This window comes from Homo sapiens, chromosome 7 (assembly GCF_000001405.40).
Source record: "Homo sapiens chromosome 7, GRCh38.p14 Primary Assembly".
Classification (NCBI taxonomy): domain Eukaryota; kingdom Metazoa; phylum Chordata; class Mammalia; order Primates; family Hominidae; genus Homo; species Homo sapiens.
This window is the reverse complement of record NC_000007.14, coordinates 129,776,542-129,795,598: the sequence shown is the minus strand read 5'-3', so window position 1 is coordinate 129,795,598 and position 19,057 is coordinate 129,776,542. Positions and strand designations below refer to the sequence as shown.

Here is a 19,057-nt window from a genome sequence, read left to right as displayed (position 1 = left end):
CAACTGGGCACCCAAGACCCAGGGCCTTTTTCTTCAGCTGCAGAGGGCACTTGGAGGGCGTCTCATTGCTCCTTTGGGCCAGGGACGTCCATCTCCATGCAGCTGGGAAGGGGCCTTCAGTCCTGTGCACGCACAGTGGAGGCCAGGCCTTGCCCCAGTGTGGGGAAATGCTGAGCCCCCATCCCCCCGACCAGGACCCCGCCCTCGAGTGCCGGCTCAGACCTAGAAGCCACTCTGCACGACCTGCACCGCACTGTCCTATGGTCCTGGAAACGTGTCAAGGAGCTCGGGTGGGCTGAGGGACTAAGCCTGTGGGTTCCTCAAGGGGTGGGACAAGTGCCCAGAGGAGACACAGCCTCTGCTAAGGGTGTCCAGGGGCCCAGGCCTGGTGGGGAGTGACCAGGGAAATACCACCACCCCACCACCCATAGGCAGCTTGGAACAGCACAGAGTGCCCGGCTGGAAGGGAGCTCCAGCCCTTTGCTTTAATAGATGAGCATCCGAAGGCCTCCAGAGGCCGCTCAGGGTCTAGAGCCCAAGCCCTGGGGCCCTCAGGGCAGTGCTGTCTGCTGTGGTGTGGAGTGCTCCCTTACCTCGGTGGCCTCTGGCCATGACATGTGACTGCCCCTCATGGAGGTCTAGCATTTTCTTTCTTTTTTTGAGACGGAGTCTTGCTCTGTCACCCAGGCTGGAGTGCAGTGGCATGATCTTGGCTCACTGCAACCTCTGCCTCCTGGGTTCAAGCAATTCTCTGCCTCAGCCTCCTGAGTAGAGTAGCTGGGATTACAGGCACCTGCCACCACACCTGGCTAATTTTTGTATTTTTAGTACAGACGGGGTTTCACCATCTTGGCCAGGCTGGTCTTGAACTCCTGACCTCGTGATTCGCCCACCTCGGCTTCCCAAAGTGCTGGGATTGCAGGGCATGAGCCACCGTGACTGGCCGGGTCTAGCATTTTCTACTTAGCAAAGTTCTCTCCCCTCCTCTGTCCCATTTGAGGTGCATAGCCACTCCAGACAACAGACGGACCGGCCAGCACTGCCCTGGTGCACAGCTGGAAACCAAGGCACACACGTCTAGCCCAAAGTTGTACAGAGAGATGGTGGAAGAGCTCCAACCAGAAGCAGAACCCATCTTGGCTGGGGACAGAAGGAGGAACCCAGGGCAACGTGTTGCTCATTCTTCAGCCAGTCTGGGGTGGCCTGGGAGCCCAGAGCTCAGAATTCCCCAGTGCCTGCTGGGCTGAAAGGGATTACTTCTGACCCTCTCCATCACCTCAGTTTCCCCACCTGTGAAGTGGGTGGAACTACGCTGTCATCTCAGGCTCATAGGGGCCCAGAGAGATGCCCTGTTTGATTACAAAATGGATTAAAAGTCTTGGTGTACTTGATACAAGTAATTCTATCCTGCACACAGATAGTTTCATTGAAAAGCAGCCTCGGGTGGCCTTTCACCAGCCTCCCTGTCCCCTGCTCAAGCCCCTGCTGAATGGGCTGTGAGGGAGAGAGACAGAAAGGCGATAAGCTCCTCCTGGAGCCCCAGACGTATTGCTGCAGCTATGTGTTCCTACTGAGGGTTCCCAGTTGGGCAAGGGCTTCCAGGCTGGGCCCTGATCTTGCCCTGCTCCTGCCCACTTTGGGTGCTGGTCTCTGTGGGAAGGGCCATGGTGGCCCTGGCAAAAGGGCTGCAGGCCAGAGGGCAGGGTGCCTGCAGGACACAGGGAAACGCTTGGGTGCCAACCACCTGGCCACAGTGTTCCCAAATTCCACTCACACTGGGCACCGTTGCCAGAGCCTGTGTCTCTCAATGCGAGAGAATCCTGAGTGAAAAATGCTCAGATCTGGCATCTGGCCAAGACCTGGTCCCCTCATGTCCCCTGGACTATCAGGTGGAGGAAAAGTGAGTCAACCCAGGGGAAGCAGCCACGCTGCTACAAAGGCCACCTGAAGACTGTCCCTTGCCACATCACCACTGGCTGGAGGTTCCGTGTAACTCTGTCCCCTCCTTCTGTGGGGCTTTTGTTATTCTTTTTCCATGAACAGCTCTTTTTTTTTTTTTGACACAGTTTCTTCATTATTTTTTTTTTGAGATGGAGTCTCGCTCTGTCACCCAGCCTGGAGTGTGCAACAGCACAATCTTGGCCCACTGCAACCTTCGCCTCCCAGGTTCAAGCGATTCTCCTGCCTCAGCCTCCCAAGTAGCTGGGATTACAGGCGCCTGCCGCCACGCCTGGCTAATGTTTTTTGTATTTGTTGTTTGTTTGTTTGTTTGTTTTTGAGACAGAGTCTCACTCTGTCACCCAGGCTGGAATGCAGTGGTGCGATGTCGACTCGCTGCAACCTCCACCTTCCGGGTTCAAGTGATTCTTTTTTTTGTATTTTTAGTAGAGACAGGGTTTCACCATGTTGGCCAGGCTGGTCTCAAACTTCTGACCTCAGGTGATCTACCCGCCCGGCCTCCCAAAGTGCTGGGATTACAGGCATGAGCCACTGCGCCTGGCCCGTGAACAGCAATTCTGTCGGTGGTCTTTCATTGTCTGCTCCTCGGAGCCCTTCTGGAAGCAGGCCTGAGATAAACAAGCACATAAACGAAATGTGTCCCGGTGGTTTTCAGGAAGTTGGACATTCATGGAGCAGCATTATCATCTCCACAATGACCCCCTCTCCTCCTCCCCGGCGGGGGGCTGGGAACCATCATGCTGGTATCCGGGCCTCTGGTGAACTTGGCCAGTAGCAACCACAAGCTGCAAATGGCTGCTGTGTGTGGCCTGAGACAGGCACAGGCTGGGATGGCAGGGGCTGGACTGCTGATTTCAAAATGGTTGGAAAGTCCCCTGGACTAGAGACTGCTACTTTGGAGCAGAGCAGCTTTCTCTGTTGTTCAGCTGATGCTGTATTGGAATACAGCTCTAGAGTAAAGTTTGAAATTCATAGCTTTTGACCAGGATCTGTGACTGACACAGTCAGCCCAATGAGGCCAAGGCATCTCTAGAGCCCAGGATCTCAGGCTGGCTCCCTGCCCACTGGAAGCCTCTGGGCTTATCCAGGGACACCCAGGATTTCTCTCCTCATGTACAATGGACAGAGGGTCAGTGTGGCACTCAGACCCAGTTCAAATGCTGGCTCTACCCCATCCTAGCTGAGTAACCAAATTATTGAACCCCTCAAGCTTCCATTTTCTTTCTTTTTTTTATTTTTTGAGATGGAGTCTCGCTCTGTCACCCAGGCTGGAGTGCAGTGATGTGATCTCGGCTCACTGCAACCTCCACCTCCTGGATTCAAGCGATTCTCCTGCCTCAGCCTCCCAAGTAGCTGGGACTACAGGCGTGTGCCACCACATCTGGCTAATTTTTTTGTATTTTAGTAGAGACAGGGTTTTGCTATGTTGGTCAGGCTGGTCTTGAACTCCTGAGCTCAGGTAATTTGCCTGCCTCGGCCTCCCAAAATGCTGGGATTACAGGCGTGAGCCACCGCACCCAGCCTTAGCTTCCATTTTCTCATCCATAAAATGGCATAATAATGCTAACCTCACACGGCAGAGGTGAGGAATGGAAAGACCTACCCAATAAATGTCACTTCCCTCCTCTTGGGTTTTAAAATTAATCACAGTTCAGGAAAAGGAAGCCGTGTTCATTAACAAATCCCATTCAACGAACCCCATTCAAATTCATTCAACGAACATTTAATGAATGCCTACTATGTGTCAGACAGGTACTGTCAACTTATGGGCTTTGGGACCATCGGAGATGGGGGTCTGAGCTTGCAGGTAGTGAATAAAGTCAGGGCGAGATCTCACCCTGTGTGGTAATAAGGCATTTTGTACCTGGATTTTTTTTTTTTTTTAGACAGAGTCTCGCTCTGTTGCCAGGCTGTAGTACAGTGGCGTGATCTCGGCTCACTGCAACCTCCGTCTCCCAGGTTCAAGCCATTCTCCTGCCTCAGCCTCCTGGATAGCTGGGACTACAGGCATGCACCACCGCGCCCAGCTAATTTTTGTGTTTTTATTAAAGATGACATTTCACCACGTTGGCCAGGATCGTCTCGATCTCTTGACCTCGTGATTCGCCCGCCTCGGCCTCCCAAAGTGCTGGGATTACAGGCGTGAGCCACCACACCCGGCCATATCTGGATTTTCATGATTAAAACAGAAGATACAACAAATGTGAGAAGAGTCTTTGGGAGGAATATCTTGGTTTTCTAATCTCATGACTGAGAGCAACCTGAGTGAGGTGGCCAGGGGTCTTACAGGTAAGGTCAACACCACCATGTTAACAGTTCTCTAAATGTGGCTCAGCTGAAACTAAGTCGGGACTGGCTCAGCACCTAGGACAGGTGGTCTGAGTAAGTTCCTGCAGTTGCCCCCAGCAGAGTTAAGCAGGGCAGAGCGGACTCCATCAATCCCAACAAGAGAGGTGGAGGTCAGATGAGCCTCTCTAGGGACAAACGGAGGAGCCCGAGGAGTCTCCTCTGCTCTGCAGCTCACTAGCTGGATGGCTTGAGCAAGCCACTCAATCTCTCCAAGTCTCAGTTTTCTCACTCGTAAAATGGGGTTATCCTGAGAATCAGATGAGATGATGTCCATGAAAGCACTTTGTAAACAGCAAAGTGGTACTATGGAGGCCGGGAGCGAGAACGCTTGGGTCTGAGCCTTCATCTGCCAAGTGCCCTCTGAGTGAACTTGGAAAATGCACACTCACAGGAAGCCTCAGATCTTCCCACCCTTCAGAGATCTGAGGGGAAAATGAAAAAGTGTTTGGGTCCTGGCACAGTAGCTCACACCTGCAATCCTAGCACTTTGGGAGGCTGAGGTGTGCAGATCACTTGAGCTCAGGAGCTCAAGCCCAGCCTGGCCAACATGGTAAAACTCTGTCTCTACCAAAATACAAAAATTAGCCCAGGTGGTGGCGGGCTCCTGTAATCCCAGCTACTCGGGAGGCTCAGGTAGGAGAATCGCTTGAACTCAGGAGGCGGAGGTTGCAGTGAGCTGAGATCACACCCCTGCACTTCAGCCTGGGCAACAAATGTCTCAAAAAAAAAAAAAAAGGGTTCAGGGAAGAATTTTGTGCACCATGATCCATCTGGCCTCAGTTGAAGCTGCTTGCTTCCTTGGCTCTCTCTTGGCTCACCTGTGCCCAGTTTCCACAGTGAGCTCCGAAGTGCCTGGAGCCCTTCATTGTGGCGTCTCACTCTGCAACATTCCCCTAACGCTCCAGAGCCAGGCCTTTCTTCTGTCTCCCTCACACTCAGTCACACAGGCACGTAAGCCCATGAAAAGATGCTCACATCATTTGTCATCAAGGAAATGTAAATTAAAACCATGATGAGATATTATTACACACGCACTGGAATGCCCAAACTAAGACATGCTAACATGTATGTGATACCAGTGAATTCACATGTTGCACACCCCAGTACCAATCCGGGATGTGCACCATAGCAGTGAATTTGCATGGTGCATACCCCAGTTTCAATCTTAGAGAAAAATCAAGCCAATGGCTGTCTCTATAGGATAGGCAATGGGGGGAAGCTATTTTGAAGCAGGAAATTTACCTCCTCCTCCAAGTTATACTTACTCCAAGATAGGCCAGGGCCAGCTGGTGTCAGGGATGGCAAGAGTGGGCAGAGGCTACTCCCTGCCTCAGAGACCACCCCCTCCACTTCCTACCCTCCCTTGAAGAAGTTGGCACCCTGTGGATGCTGACTGACTAAAGCCTTGTCATTTCCCCCAAAGGCTGGTGGAACAGAGATAACTAGGGTCATTGATGCTTAGAGGAGAGATGATGGGGGAGGGGGCTCTGAGTGGAGAAGGGACCAAGAACATGCTGCTATTCACCATGTGTGCTTGGAGGGGGAGCATATGGCTAATAATGACCAGCTGTTCTCTGTCAATTCCAGATGGAATCAGAGAAAAATGGGCTTCCCCAGTAGCAAGAAACGTTTAGGTGGGACATAATGATGAACTTCCTGAGAGAGTTGTTGAGAACAGTGGATGTGTGTGTGCACACCCATGCAGGTGCATGTGTGTGCACACCCATGCAGGTGCATGTGTGTGTTGGAGTGTATGCGTGCTGTCACTGGAGCAAGGGAAGACGGCGCTCGGTATAATTCAGAGCACTTTAGGAATTGGAAAGGCAAACCTCAAAGTGACATGAGCCTGTGTCCCTCTGGGCTGGGGACAGAGAGATGGACTCGGGCCCTTTCTCTAGGTACCTCCGAGGGCAATTAGCTAGCTGGTCCATCAGTAAGAACCCCAAACCAGAAATCTGCGGAGCCAGATGGGTACTTACTTTCATGGCCTGACCCCTCCCAGCGGCCTGTGCATTCTCCTCCCCATTAGGGTAGAAGAGTCCATCCATCACCATTGCAGCTGTGATGTCACCACTGCAGGCCTCCACTGCACAGGAAGACGGTTCCAACCCCTCCAAGGCGCTAAATCATTCATGGGCCAGAAAGCCTGGGTGGCAGGAGATTTACTGCCGAAGAAACACTTCAGGGACTTGTGGAAATCAATTCCTTAAAGAGACCCCATCAGCTGGCAGGTGGCCTAGGGCTGAGGCCTGGGTTTGTGTTGGGGACCCATTGAAGTAGGGTTGGAGGGGAGCAGCTCCCTAACTCCAAAACCAAGGATGGAAGGGAGCCCAAGGCTAGGCCCAAGGTTAGGATACATTCCTGACACCCTAGCTTGGGGAGGTGGGAGGAAGAGGAAGAGGAGCGTTCCCCGAATCCAGCCCTGGCTCAGCCGCTCCTCCTGTCACCTGATGGCTGGACTTATACCCATGGGGGCTCTGCTGGTGAATAAGACCAAATGAGGAGGATTGTCAGCATGTGTTTGCTGAGTCTGTTGGCTCCTCAATCTCAGACCACCCCACTTAGTCTCTGCTGGCAGGGGAGCAGGCCAGCTTTGGTTTCTCTGCAGCAGAGGCTGGGAGCATTATCCAGCATGCTTCCTTTTCATCTCAAGGAGAATGTGAGCTCCTCGAAGGCCCACATGGTCTCTGCTTTAAGATCCAGACCAGGCGCAGTGGCTCAGGCCTGTAATCCCAGCACTTTGGGAGGCTGAGGTGGGCAGCTCACTTGAGGCCAGGAGTTCAAGGCTAGCCTGGCCAACATGGCAAAACCCTGTCTTTACTAAAAATATAAAAACTAGCTGGGGTGGGGTGGCATGTGCCTGTAATCCCGGCTACTTTGGAGGCTGAGGCACAAGAATCACTTGAATGGAGGTTGTAGTGAGCCGAGATTGTGCCACTGTACTCCAGCTTGGGTGACACAGAGAAGACTCTGTCTAAAAAAAAAACCAAACAAAAACAAAAACCCAGACCTGTGGGACTTGATGATTAAGTTCTTGGGGTAGCATGTGCTAGTTTTGTTTTGTTTTGTTTTGTTTTGAGACGGAGTCTCGCTCTGTCGCCCAGGCTGGAGTGCAGTGGCGCCATCTCGGCTCACTGCAAGCTCCGCCTACCAGGTTCACACCATTCTCCTGCCTCAGCCTCCGGAGTAGCTGGGACTACAGGCACCCGCCACCACGCCAGGCTAATTTTTTGTATTTTTAGTAGAGACGGGGGTTTCACCGTGTTAGCCAGGATGGTCTCGATCTCCTGACCTCGTGATCCGCCCGCCTCGGCCTTCCAAAGTGCTGGGATTACAGGCATGAGCCACCAAGCCCCACCGCATGTGCTAGTTTAACCAGTTAGAAGAGCATGTGACATCCAGAAGCGGCGTGGGACGTCTGTTGTCCCATGCATATCTAGCATAGTGGGCTCCGTTGGTCCAAGTGCAGCCCAGCTTGTCTGCCTCTGTTTCTGCCTCAACGTGTCTTGGAAAAGAAAAATAAAGGGATGAAGGAAGACAGGAAAGGCTTTTCCTTCCAGCCCTCACTTTACAAATGAGGAAACTGAAGCCTAGAGGTGGAATTGGCTCACTCAAAGACCATATCCATGAGACAGGAAAAAGGGAAGAGGAGAATACCCCTAAAGCCATACTGAGGAGTTTCTGCCTCCCTTGAAATGACCTCCCAAGAGGAAGCCCAGGCATGGCCATTGCTAGCTAAAAGGGGTAGCACAGAGCAGGCAGCTGTGATGGACAGAAAGAAGTCCAGGCCAGCATGTGCTGCCTAGCCTGCCTGAGCCTTAGTTTCTCCGCTCACTGTCCTGCGGGAGAATCCCGCTGGCCCCTGGTTGTGACTGCACCCTGCACAGCCCTTGCTCATTAATTCAAACACATATTCATGGAGCACCTTCCGAGAAAGTCAGGCAGGAGATACCGCAGTCTACAAGGCAGATGTGGCCCTTGCCCTAGTGGGGCTTGCATTTTCCATTAGGAGGGACTTATGCTAAATGCTGGGCAGGAATTCCCCCAAGCTAGCCCATCTGGAGGCTGAGGCCAGGTTCCAACCCAGCATCTGCAGGGAGCTCACAGCAGCTCCAAGTCCTCGACACAGGCCACAGGCTGCTTCCCTTAGGGCAGGGCCTGCTGTTGCTGTGGGAACTCCATCCCCACTGCCTTGGCCAGACCCTCCCTTCTACCGGGGGCCCAGCAGGTTCCCACAGCAGGTACTGCGGAGAGACTGCTGGATTCTGGTTATTGGGGGAGGTTCCTAAAGAGCAGATCAAAGGATTCTGGTTATTGGTGGAGGTTCCTAAAGAGCAGATCAAAGGATTCTGGTTATTGGTGGAGGTTCCTAAAGAGCAGATCAAAGGGCTGGGCACCGTGGCTCATGCCTGTAATCCCAGCACTTTGAGAGGCCGAGGCGGGCGGACCACTTCAGGTCGGAAGGGAAGTTCGAGACCAGCCTGATCAACATTGAGAAATCCGGTCTCTACTAAAAATACAAAATTAACTGGGCATGGTGGCGCACGCCTGTAATCCCAGCTACTGAGGAGGCTGAGGCAGGAGAATCTCTTGAACCCGGGAGGCGGAGGTTGTGGTGAGCCGAGATTGTGCCACTGCCCTCCACCCTGCGCAACGAGAGGGAAACTCCGTCTCAAAAAACAAACAAACAGCAAAGAAAAAAAAAAAAAAAAAAAGAGCAGATCAAAGAACGAACAAAGAGCTTCGGGGATTCTTGATCATTCTTGATCACCTCCCCCCCACCCCCGCAACCCACACACCCCCTCCCCTCCCAACAACCCAAACCGCCTGTGGTCTTTCTCCTCCATCCCCTCCTTCCACACCCGTGCATCCCCTACCCTCTGCCCTGCCTTTTCTCCAAGCAGGAGCGGCTGTGAGCCGGCAGCCAGGGACCCCATGATAACCCTCTTTCTAGGCATCCCAGCAGGAGCTTCGCACCTACCCCTCAGGAGTGTGCCCAGGAAAATCTCTGCAGCTCCCGAGGCCTCTGCTGCCCCACTGGTCCAGAGACCGGAGCCTGCCCAGGGGACCAGGGTGGCCCCACTCCCCAGGTTTCTCTCTGCATTTCTTTAATTTCCGGTTGCGGGAGTTCTCTCCAGACCCACCCAACCTGGCCTAGTGAAAAAAGCCCCAGGAAAGCCTCCAGAGAACTGGGCTCCGTAGGGCTCTGTCTGGAATTAGAAGCCTAGCTGGGCTTCAGATCCCTCCTCTTAAAAACGAGGGGTTGGACCACGCGACTCCCCGCCAGGGCCCAGACACGAACGCGGATGCCCTGCCCCTCCTCCCGCGCCCTGGGAGGGTCGGAGGCGGTGTGCGGTAACCCGGAGGGACGCCCAGGCAGACAGCAAGAGGGGATATTCGCGAAGACGCCGCGGCAGAAAGCAACCCCAGCAGGGCCGGCGGCGTGCAGAGGACAGAGGAGGCGTCCTGGGGAAGAGCGCACCTCAGGCTGGGGGCAAAGAGGCGGTACGCGTCGGGGGAGCTGCCCGCTGTGAGCCGAGGGTGGAGGGAGAAAGGGACTCCTAGGTCCTGGACAGAGCGCATCGCCCCCTCCACAGCGGACTCCTAGCAAGGAAAAGACCGTCCCATCCCCGGGCTGGAGCCGGGCATTCTCATCCAAGAAAGGCACAACGATCTTCCGAATTTGGGTGGTGACTGCAGAGCTAAAAAAAAATTGACCCCTGAAGAAGCGCTTTGCTGCTTACAAAGCACTTGCAAAAACACTTCCTTATTCGAATATTTCCAATTCCAACAGTCCTCCGACCTGGGTAAGCTCCCAATTTACAGACGAAGAAACTGAGGCTCAGAAAGGTCAGGCAGCCAACCAACAAATAACTGTTAAGTGGTTAATAATGCAGATTATTCTAATTTGAGACAGAAAAATCCCAACTCCGAAGAATCCCCAAACGGAAATAAGAGCGTTTTGTTTGGTTTGGGGTCCGAATTATTCAGCTAAATTCTGCTTGGGGCACAGGAAGTGAAACATGGCCCGTGGCCAAAACCATATCTGGGTCACTGACCTTTGGATAATCTGCTGAAGGCTGCGGGGCCCCTCCCCCAACGACCGCAGACACAATCTGCGAGGGAACCTCGCTGGAGTCTTCTGAGCCCTGAAACCTGGTCCTCAGGGCTGGGACCCGGGCTCCACGCATGTGGTGCGTCGAAGGCCGGCTCTTGGGTCTGGGTGCAGAGGGTTGGGGGGCGTTAGGGGATGCAGCGCGGGTCCCTGCTGGGTAGGGGTGGGGAAGCTGGGTTTCTAACCCTGGAGGGACCCAGCCTGTGCAGAGTTCCGCATGGGCCGGAGGGGCTCCTCGCCAGGGCCTGCGCGCAGTTTCTCTCTGGCATCCTCCCAGCCTTCTCCAGAAAGAGGCGCGGATGTTCTCGGCTTATTTTACAGATGAGGAAACCGAGGCTGGACTCGATCCTTTAACCTGGCAGGCCACCTTCTCCTCTGACTTGGGTAGGGGACCCCTCTGGGGTGGACGCTTATGTTTCACCTGCTCGGGGGTCAAAGTCGACCGGGGTGTCGCCTGGTAAAAAGCAGCAAGGGCCGCACCCGCACGCTTCTCTCTCCTCTCGCCTTTGCTCCGAGCGACGATTCTCTACTCATCGAGGATTCATGGGAGCCAAGAGCCCGGGCAAGGCCCGCCGCCCCAGTGCCTCCGCTCTGCAGCTCGCCCTCTGATTCAACTCCTGCAGGCTTCAGCATCCCGAATGCTTATTTTATTTTATTTTATTTCATTTTATTTATTGAGACGGAGTTTCGTTCTTGTTGCCCAGGCTGGAGTGCAATGGCGCGATCTCGGCTCACCGCAACCTCCTCTTTCCGGGTTCAAGCGATTCTCCTGCCTCAGCCTCCGGAGTAGCTGGCATTACAGGCGAGTGCCGCCACACCCGGCTAATTTTGTATTTTTAGTAGAGATGGGCTTTCTCCATGTTAGTCACGCTGGTTGGTCTCGAACTTCTGATCTCAGGTGATCCACCCGCCTCGGCCTCCCAAAGAGCTGGGATTGCAGGCGTGAGCCACTGCGCCCGGCCCAGGTTGCTTTTTAAAAAATCAATTTATTGGCCGGGCGCGGTGGCTCACGCCTGTGATCCCAACACTTTGGGAGACCGAGGTGGGCGGATCACGAGGTCAGGAGATCGAGACCATCCTGACTAACACGGTGAAACCCCGCCTCTACTAAAAAAAAAAAAAAAAAGAAAAAAGGAAAAAAAATTAGCCGGGCGTGGTGGCACGCGCCTGTAATCCCAGCTACTCGGGAGACTGAGGCAGGAGAATCGCTTGAGCCCAGGAGGCGGAGGTTGCAGTGAGCCTAAATAGCGCCACTGCACTCCAGTCTGGGCTACAGAGCGAGACTCCGTCTCAAAACAAACAAACAAACAAAAAACAATTCCTGCAGTTTCTTTTTTTAATTGAAAATTCAATGCAAGAATATGGTAAGCAACACACATTGGCTTCGAACAGTCCCGAAAGACATACAATGAAAAGAAAAATCTCCAACCCTCTGCGCTGAGACCTTTCGTGCAGAAAAAACCTGATGTTTAACCCCCTGCCCCATTTATATTTTTACACAAATAGGAATCCACGTGCCTTTTGCGTTTTTCACTGAACGCCTAGGCGACTTTCCAGGATATATAAAGACCCCATGTTTTCCTCATTCTTTTAAAGAGCTGGGTCGATTCCGAAGACAGAATCTCCTTTCATTTGACAGTCTCTGTGTTTCTCCTTCTTTCGAATCTCTGCATCCTCCGACCCCGCAGCCGGGAAGGAACCACTCCAGCCTCCCGTCCAAACAGAACCCTACAGGGCCCTACCTCGATCAGAGGAAAAACGCACAGAAGCACACGCATACGGTTTTCGAAAAATGTCGGGAAGTTCGTTGGGTTTCCAGTGACTTTGTTGACCCACGAGAATCTAGATGCTAGAGCAAAGGACCGAGGGCTAAGGGCTGGGCCAAGATCGAAAGACTCCCGCTTTGGCTTCCCCGGCACGTGGCCCTGGCGGAGGAAGCACCAGGGACACAGCGGCTGGGGCGGGCACCCGGCGGCAGTCGCGCGGACGAGGGTGCAGGGCGTGCTGAGGCCATCTCGCTGGGCCTGCAGTTTGCAGAGATCTCCGGGTCGCCAAGTACCCACGTGCTCACATGTGCATTTTCTTCATCCCCAGAGGTGCGAGTCATTCTGCCCATTTTGCAAATGGGAAACTGAGGCTTAGAGAGGTGAAGTGAATCCCTCGAGATCGAGATCACAGAGGGACTGGAGCAGGGGAGGACTGGAACTCTGGGTTCCTCTCACTGGGGTTATACTAGTTATGCCATGGGGCCAGGGTTAGCAGGAGAACCTCACCATTCGGAGAGGGGCCAATGGCAGAACCACGGCCGCATCAGTGGGTCTGCGTGAGGGGCTTGTATCCCGGGCACCTTTCCCCCTAGTCCTGCCGCCGGAGGAATGGGAAGGGAGGGGAAGACCGATGGTTACTTCTTTGCCCAAGGTCTTCAGCACGAGTGGGATTGTCATGGAGCTGGCGAAGGGAGCCGTGTGGGGTAGGGACTAGGAGGGAGCAAGCCAGAGGGACAAGCCGCGACACCATTAAAAAGGACGGAGCGCAAGGCGCCGAGTCTCCTAGGTGGGGGCAGCAAGGAAGACAGCGGGTCTTTCCTAAACCTGGCCAAGCGTCGAGGAACCCAAAACTACCCGTCCCGGGGCGCACGACTCCGGGCAGCGTGGGACGCCTGTGGCGAGGCGGAAGGGATCTCTCCAGCGAGAGGGAATGGGGCAATTGCCAGACGGACATTGGATCTGCAGAAGGAGGGGGTAGGATACACGCGGGCTTAGGATGCGCTGGACAGGCCAGCAAAGTGAGGACCCCAGGTCGTCCTGAGCCACCTCTTCCCCCGCCTGAGCCCTGAGCCGTAAGGGATCCAGGGTATCAGGTCCCCGGGGGCCGCCCCCTCACCGTCCGAGTCCAGCTCCGGTTACCTGCCTGGCCTGCTCCTTAAAATATGTATGAGGCCCTTGCGGGTGCAGTTTCGCGGCCCCTCCCGGAGTGGGGCTGGGGGACTCAGGGTGCGAGGGGAGCTGAGGGGGGAGGAAGCGACGCGAGCTCCCCGGCCGGGGCCTTCTCGACTTTCAGCAGCGCATTTAAGAAAAGGTGGAAATCGGATCTGTCTCGGCGGCGCCCCAGCCCCGCCCGCTCCGACGGCCGGACCTCGCGGCCCAGCGGCTAGCTTTCTGCTGCGCGGTGTCTGGTTCTCGACAGCAGGTGAATGGGCCAGGGCGGGGCGCCCGGAGCGCGGGGGGCGGGGCGCGCGTTATAAAGGGGAGCAGCAGGCCGCGGGGGCCACTCGCAGTCCGCAAGGCCTGCGCTTCCCGCTTTGCGGTCCTGGGCACACCCGGCCCGGGTTGCCCAGCATCGCATGGGTCTGAGGACCAGGTAGGGCGCGGGTGCAGAGACAGCCAGGGAGGCTCGAGGCGACCTAGATGGGCGGGGGAATGCTAGTAGGACGGGGAGGGGTTAATGTGGAGCTATCACCCCCTTTTGGCCCGTTGGGCTCTGTGACGTGCTCATTATCTCCGCTGTCCGGGTTCTCGCTCACCGTGCCCATCCCTGGCTGCATGGGGAGAGGGGCCCCGAGGCCCTGAGACTCGTCCAGTTATCCACCTGGGGTGGGAATCTTGCTTCCCGATCCATCTGGCTGCGACATCTACGGCTTCAGCAGGCCCTGCCCGGGAGTCGGGCATATTGAAGGGTTCGTATCCTTGCCGTCACCCTTGGCCCCTCCCGGCTCGGCAGGAGCTGGGGGTGGGGAAACTATAGATTTCCCGGGCCCCGCTTCCACTGCCTCACCCCCTTCTTTTGCTCGAGCCCAAGACAAGGTGTTAACGGTCTTCAAGTGCAAGGGTTAGGTTTGGTGGGAGCATAGGCTAAGCACCACCCTCATTTTACAGGGGCTTCTAGGGTGCCAGATCTGCGGGGGTCGATTGGGAAGAACTAGAAGCTAAAAAGGAGAAGGGCGGATTAACGTTTTATTTTAATCTGGTTTTGAGCTGCCGTTGCCGTCTGGGGCGGCCGGGCGGGGCGGAGCTGGGACTGCCAAGGGCAGCCAAAGCAGCAGGGAGGGAGGGGGCGCTCCGGTGCTCAGGATGCTGGGGAAGAAGGAAGAGGCCACCCCAACGCTGACAGCTTGGAGGACCTAGCCCCTGCCCCCCGGTCCCTTCTGAATGCTCCGGGTGGTGTCAGACCAAAGGACGGTTGAGAAGGATCTAATCCGCGTCCGCGCCCCAGCCCCGGCTGGCCCCGCCCCCTCCCGAGGGAGCCACTGTCGCAGTGGGGGGAGGGGGAGATGGGAACGGGTCTGGGGGGCGGCTCCCCTCCCCCTCCCTCTCTTGGGACAGACAGCCTTTGTTCCCGGCGGCGGCGGCAGCGGTGGCCAGACACCTGTGAGGCCGCAGAACTGGCCGAGGGTGGGCGTGTGAGGACATGGAGGCCCCTTGTCCCCATTCCAGCCCTGCGCCCCTGGGTCCGGGTGCGCCCCCTGAGACAGGTCAGCCTTGAGCACCTTTCTGCGGGGAGACTGCAGAGATCGTCCAGTGGCCCTACGGTGCGCCCCAGCTCCCAACGCACTTCCCCTCCCCCCTCCCAGGGTCGGATTTCCAAGCACGCCACGCCACACACACCTCGGCTAGCTCCGGGCTCAGAGGGCGCTGGGGTGGCAGGGCGTCCGGGCGCACCTCGGCTAGCGGCACCCTAGCCCGAGGGCAGGAGGCGGGGATAGAAGGCGGGCGACGGGACCCCTTGGGGCCAGACCCGGCCGGGTTGGGCAAGCAGGCGGGGCTCCCGGCGTCTCCGCAGTCCCGGACGGGCGTGCCCTGCGCCGCGCACCAACCGGAGCCACATTCAAGGTGAATCATCCCCGGCCCGCCCCCTGCCCCTCCCCGCCTCGCGGCACCTGAGCCAATGGCGCTGCGCGAGGGGCGGGCGGGGCCCGGGGCGGGGGGCGGTAAAACCCTCCTGGAGTCATTCTCTGTGCACTCCGTCGAGCCCCCGCGCAGCCGTGCCGGAGCCGCAGGGCCTCCGTCCAGCCGCGCGGTCCGGGCAGCCCGCGCCCCCTGTTCTTCCGGTCCTCGGGCCCAGGTACCCCTCTGGACCTCCCCCGCCTGCAGCGCGGAGGCGGCTCCTCTTCAGGTGGCCGGGCCGGGGCCTTCCCCGGCAGACCTGTCACCCGACACCCAGGAAGCGCGCGGCCGGGTCCCGGCTCCCCTTTGTTCCCCCGCTGGGCTCGGCGCTCCGGCGCCGCCCCCTCTCGCGGGGCAGCGGAGGTTTGGGCCCGGGCCGGGCGCGCTTCAAGCTCCGTCCATGCGGCTCTTTCCAAACCGGGGCCGTTTTTGCCTGGCTTCTCTGGTGTGGACTCCGCGCGGAGCTGAGAGGCGGCTGTGCGCCCAGCCTGGAGCCGGCGCAGGTGAGTGTCTGGGGCCGGGAGCGGGGGGGCGGGCCGGGCGGAGCCAGAGCGGGGCTCAGTAGAGGAGGCGGAGGCGGGCGCCCGGGACCGGCCGCACTAGAACCCGGGTGCAGGGCAGAAGTCCCGGCGCAGCTGGCTTTCGGGGATGACGCGGCAGTGCCTACTCGCTCTTCCGCGCCTTCAGGCGGAGGCGCCCACGGGGCGCCTGGGTCCCGGGTCCGCCAGTGGCGTCTGCCCAGCGCCCAGCGCTGTTCCCGGGCGGGGGCGGGGGCGGGAGCGGCTGCGGTCCGAGTGCGGCCGGTGCTTGCGAGGTGCCTACCCGCGAGGAGTTTGGCTGGGGTCGGGCTGCGTTTCGCCGCCCTGGTGGGCTCAGGCGGAAGCGCCAGGCTGGGAGGGGGCTGCGGAGAGCGCCGGGGCCCCGGAGCTGGCCCCTCCAGCGTCTTGTCAGGGCTGCGCGGCTGGTTCGAGGCTGCTTCCGTGGCCCGGAGCCGCCCCGCCCAGTCTCTGGGGGAAAGCGGCTCTCAGACCTCCCGTGTGCCTCCACTTCGCGGCCACTCATCCCGGGAACCCCGGCGCACGCGAATGAGACACCGTTCCCCGCCCTCAACTGCCCCATTCCTGTTAATAGCGCTAGTGGCACCCAGGTTCCCAGCCCTTCCCCAAGATCGGCGGCTGGACGGCTTGCCTCTGGCGCCTCACCGGTCAGCGCATCCCAGGACTATGGGCAGTGAGGGTGTCACCCGGGGTCAGGGGTCGCCCGATTCCACGGTGTCCTCCAGGCTGAGCCATTCGTTTGCTCTTCCAACCCGGGCTCCCGGACACCGTGTACAGTAATACCCGCCGGGGGCAGGGGCACTGAGGCCGGCTCTGAGCGATTAGGGCCGAGGGCGGGCGGTGCCGTAATCGACCTCCCCACCCCCACAGGCAAGGTGCGGCGGCGCCTCCCAGGTTTGCGCCCGTCTTCGCAAAGCTCCTGAGGGCGAAAATCCTGCGAGCCAGGTGGCGGATTCTCGGGCCGGGTCACTCAGCTCTACGGGTGCGCATCACCCTCTACCTGTCACCCAGTGAGCCCGACCGATGGGCACCGAGTCGGCGGATCTCTGATCCGAGGCCGAGCCTTCGGAGAAATCTGTCCTAGTGGCCTCATCGTGGCCTGAGCGAACGCAAAGGAACCTGCCCCAAGCCCAGCTCTCAGCCTCGACCCCCACATTCCCCGCGCGGCTCTCGGTTCGGACCTGGGCTCGGAGCGGCAGCCTCCACCACTGCTCGTTTCTTTACCGCTCAAGGCCGCCCCTTCATGCTCCTGCGGGGGAGTTAGCGGGACCTCTGGAGTCGGCCTTACGCAAAGAAGAGAAAATTCTAGGATGCCGGCCTCACTTGTGAGGATTTCGTTTATTCTTTTTCTCCTACCGGGGCCCAGTGGCTCTTGGAGTGAGCTCCGCACCCCAGACACCTGAGTATTTATTTAATGGGTCGGTGGCGGCCTGGGCTTCGGGGAAAGGAGCTCTGGGCCCCTCTCCCAGCACCTCATGGGGACACAGGATGACAGGCGCAGCGTCCAGGGCATGCCCGTTCAAGGGCCCCAGCAGCCTCTAGCCCCTGGGACCTCAGGGGCATTTGATAGAGACTGGAGGGATCAGGACCAGACCGGTTGTGGGTGGCGCGGCTGGGACCCTGGACTCCAGATTCGTTGTGTAGAGGTGGAGAGGAGAGCCAGGAGTCGAGCGGTAGGCTATGTGCTGTCTAAGGACCCCGGAGTACCCATAGCCCAGAGTCCTGCAACACTCACCTCTAACACTGGAAGGGGTTGGGGGCCTGCCCTTTGCATTGGGCACCAGTGCCCAGGAAGGGACACCCCTAGGGGAAAGGGGACTCGAGTTTTAAGAAGGCCCAAGTAGAGTTCAGGAGGGTGGGGCTGAGAGCGACCGAAGGTGGGAGGGGGCGCTTTGTGGAGACCTCCTAGGATGTGTAGGACCCCCACACACCCTGTGAGTCCCTGGCTGCCCAGCCTGGCCTGCAAGTTGCATCTCTTTTGGTCCTCTTCCATTGCCAGGCGCTGACGCCCAGCGGGTGTGGGAGACCTTGTCTTCATCTTCCCACTCCAGAAGCGGATTTCTGTGCCTTTGATCTCAAGGTCAGGGCTGTGTCCTGCAGGGAGGGCAGAAGAGGCTGCTATCCTGACCTGCGCCAAGCCATAGGCCTCTGTTTTCCCTTTTGAGATTCCGAGTGGGGATTCTGCTGCTGATGTCGGAGAGCTCCTCTTACCCGCTTTTCGAGAGAGCTGGGAGACCTTGCTTCCCTAGGGCCCAGGCCCCAGCCTCCCTCCACCAGGATGGAGAGGCCCCAGCGGGCGTGGCACCCCCCAGGCACTGCGGCACTTGGGCTTCCTGTCGCATTTGGGTTAGGAGGGGTGAGGCAGGCGCAGGGGAGGAACCTGGCCCAGCCGACTAGAACTGGAAGTGGAGAGGGATTTGGCTTTGCGAGCTGCTCCCTGTATTCCATCCTATGTCAGTTACAAAGATGAGGAAAACAGACCAAGGAGCTCGACAGAGATGCCACAATTTGAAGGAGCGTACGTGTTTGGCTGCTTTGTTACAGGGCTCTCTCCTCTACCTGGGGTCCCTTTTATTCCTTCCTGGGCTGGGGAGAGCAGAATCCCTGGCTCCATCTGTTCTCCAGCTCTAAGGCCTCTGTGGCTCCTTGGTTGCAAGGTGCTGCGTGTTCCCCTTCCCTAACACCTGCCTCTCCCCATCCTTGGCTGTCCCCAAAAGAAGAATGAAGAATTCTTTTTTTTTTTTTTTTTTTTTTTGTTGTTGTTGAGACAGAATCTCGCTCTGTTGTTGCCCAGGCTGGAGTGCAGTGGTGCGATCTCTGCTCACTGCAACCTCCACCTCCCGGGTTCAAGCGATTCTCCTGCCTCAGCTTCGGGCGCCTGCTACCACGCCTGGCTAATTTTTGTATTTTTAGTAGAGACGGGGGTTTCACCATGCTAACCAGGCTGGTCTCGAGCTTCTAACCTCAGGCGATCCTCCCGTCTCCCAAAGTGCGCTGGGATTACAGGTGTGAGCCACTGCGCCCAGCCAGAAGAAAGAAGAATTCTGCATTCTGTTTAATTATCCCAGGGTGAGGCTTCTTGGGAAAGATTTCTCAAAATAGATCTTCCCACCCCCACCCCCACCCCATGCTGAGCTGTCAGGGTGCTATTAAAATGCAGATTTCCAGGCAGGCTCAAGAATCTACATTTCAAC

The 19,057-nt window shown here is 57.4% G+C and overlaps 16 annotated features.

The window, feature by feature from the left end:
* Positions 2,677-3,177: an enhancer, noted in NCBI's record as "H3K4me1 hESC enhancer chr7:129432262-129432762 (GRCh37/hg19 assembly coordinates)". NCBI's record gives its function as "activates a minimal SCP1, AML or CMV promoter by ChIP-STARR-seq in primed H9 embryonic stem cells {active_cell/tissue: H9 hESC(primed)}" and the evidence as "EXISTENCE:reporter gene assay evidence [ECO:0000049][PMID:30033119]".
* Positions 7,092-7,601: an enhancer, noted in NCBI's record as "H3K4me1 hESC enhancer chr7:129427838-129428347 (GRCh37/hg19 assembly coordinates)". NCBI's record gives its function as "activates a minimal SCP1, AML or CMV promoter by ChIP-STARR-seq in naive H9 embryonic stem cells {active_cell/tissue: H9 hESC(naive)}" and the evidence as "EXISTENCE:reporter gene assay evidence [ECO:0000049][PMID:30033119]".
* Positions 7,602-8,112: an enhancer, noted in NCBI's record as "H3K4me1 hESC enhancer chr7:129427327-129427837 (GRCh37/hg19 assembly coordinates)". NCBI's record gives its function as "activates a minimal SCP1, AML or CMV promoter by ChIP-STARR-seq in naive H9 embryonic stem cells {active_cell/tissue: H9 hESC(naive)}" and the evidence as "EXISTENCE:reporter gene assay evidence [ECO:0000049][PMID:30033119]".
* Positions 8,113-8,623: an enhancer, noted in NCBI's record as "NANOG-H3K4me1 hESC enhancer chr7:129426816-129427326 (GRCh37/hg19 assembly coordinates)". NCBI's record gives its function as "activates a minimal SCP1, AML or CMV promoter by ChIP-STARR-seq in naive H9 embryonic stem cells {active_cell/tissue: H9 hESC(naive)}" and the evidence as "EXISTENCE:reporter gene assay evidence [ECO:0000049][PMID:30033119]".
* Positions 9,743-9,792: an enhancer, noted in NCBI's record as "active region_26634". NCBI's record gives its function as "activates an Ori minimal core promoter by ATAC-STARR-seq in GM12878 lymphoblastoid cells {active_cell/tissue: GM12878}" and the evidence as "EXISTENCE:reporter gene assay evidence [ECO:0000049][PMID:35858748]".
* Positions 9,863-9,922: an enhancer, noted in NCBI's record as "active region_26633". NCBI's record gives its function as "activates an Ori minimal core promoter by ATAC-STARR-seq in GM12878 lymphoblastoid cells {active_cell/tissue: GM12878}" and the evidence as "EXISTENCE:reporter gene assay evidence [ECO:0000049][PMID:35858748]".
* Positions 10,158-10,668: an enhancer, noted in NCBI's record as "H3K27ac-H3K4me1 hESC enhancer chr7:129424771-129425281 (GRCh37/hg19 assembly coordinates)". NCBI's record gives its function as "activates a minimal SCP1, AML or CMV promoter by ChIP-STARR-seq in naive H9 embryonic stem cells {active_cell/tissue: H9 hESC(naive)}" and the evidence as "EXISTENCE:reporter gene assay evidence [ECO:0000049][PMID:30033119]".
* Positions 10,669-11,180: an enhancer, noted in NCBI's record as "H3K4me1 hESC enhancer chr7:129424259-129424770 (GRCh37/hg19 assembly coordinates)". NCBI's record gives its function as "activates a minimal SCP1, AML or CMV promoter by ChIP-STARR-seq in primed H9 embryonic stem cells {active_cell/tissue: H9 hESC(primed)}" and the evidence as "EXISTENCE:reporter gene assay evidence [ECO:0000049][PMID:30033119]".
* Positions 11,894-12,738: an enhancer, noted in NCBI's record as "H3K27ac-H3K4me1 hESC enhancer chr7:129422701-129423545 (GRCh37/hg19 assembly coordinates)". NCBI's record gives its function as "activates a minimal SCP1, AML or CMV promoter by ChIP-STARR-seq in naive H9 embryonic stem cells {active_cell/tissue: H9 hESC(naive)}" and the evidence as "EXISTENCE:reporter gene assay evidence [ECO:0000049][PMID:30033119]".
* Positions 12,739-13,584: an enhancer, noted in NCBI's record as "H3K27ac-H3K4me1 hESC enhancer chr7:129421855-129422700 (GRCh37/hg19 assembly coordinates)". NCBI's record gives its function as "activates a minimal SCP1, AML or CMV promoter by ChIP-STARR-seq in naive H9 embryonic stem cells {active_cell/tissue: H9 hESC(naive)}" and the evidence as "EXISTENCE:reporter gene assay evidence [ECO:0000049][PMID:30033119]".
* Positions 14,431-15,276: an enhancer, noted in NCBI's record as "H3K27ac-H3K4me1 hESC enhancer chr7:129420163-129421008 (GRCh37/hg19 assembly coordinates)". NCBI's record gives its function as "activates a minimal SCP1, AML or CMV promoter by ChIP-STARR-seq in naive H9 embryonic stem cells {active_cell/tissue: H9 hESC(naive)}" and the evidence as "EXISTENCE:reporter gene assay evidence [ECO:0000049][PMID:30033119]".
* Positions 14,431-15,696: a biological region, named in NCBI's record as "H3K27ac-H3K4me1 hESC enhancer GRCh37_chr7:129420163-129421008".
* Positions 14,897-15,696: a silencer, noted in NCBI's record as "silent region_18635". NCBI's record gives its function as "represses an Ori minimal core promoter by ATAC-STARR-seq in GM12878 lymphoblastoid cells {active_cell/tissue: GM12878}" and the evidence as "EXISTENCE:reporter gene assay evidence [ECO:0000049][PMID:35858748]".
* Positions 15,757-15,836: a silencer, noted in NCBI's record as "silent region_18634". NCBI's record gives its function as "represses an Ori minimal core promoter by ATAC-STARR-seq in GM12878 lymphoblastoid cells {active_cell/tissue: GM12878}" and the evidence as "EXISTENCE:reporter gene assay evidence [ECO:0000049][PMID:35858748]".
* Positions 15,987-16,116: a silencer, noted in NCBI's record as "silent region_18633". NCBI's record gives its function as "represses an Ori minimal core promoter by ATAC-STARR-seq in GM12878 lymphoblastoid cells {active_cell/tissue: GM12878}" and the evidence as "EXISTENCE:reporter gene assay evidence [ECO:0000049][PMID:35858748]".
* Positions 17,815-18,661: an enhancer, noted in NCBI's record as "H3K4me1 hESC enhancer chr7:129416778-129417624 (GRCh37/hg19 assembly coordinates)". NCBI's record gives its function as "activates a minimal SCP1, AML or CMV promoter by ChIP-STARR-seq in primed H9 embryonic stem cells {active_cell/tissue: H9 hESC(primed)}" and the evidence as "EXISTENCE:reporter gene assay evidence [ECO:0000049][PMID:30033119]".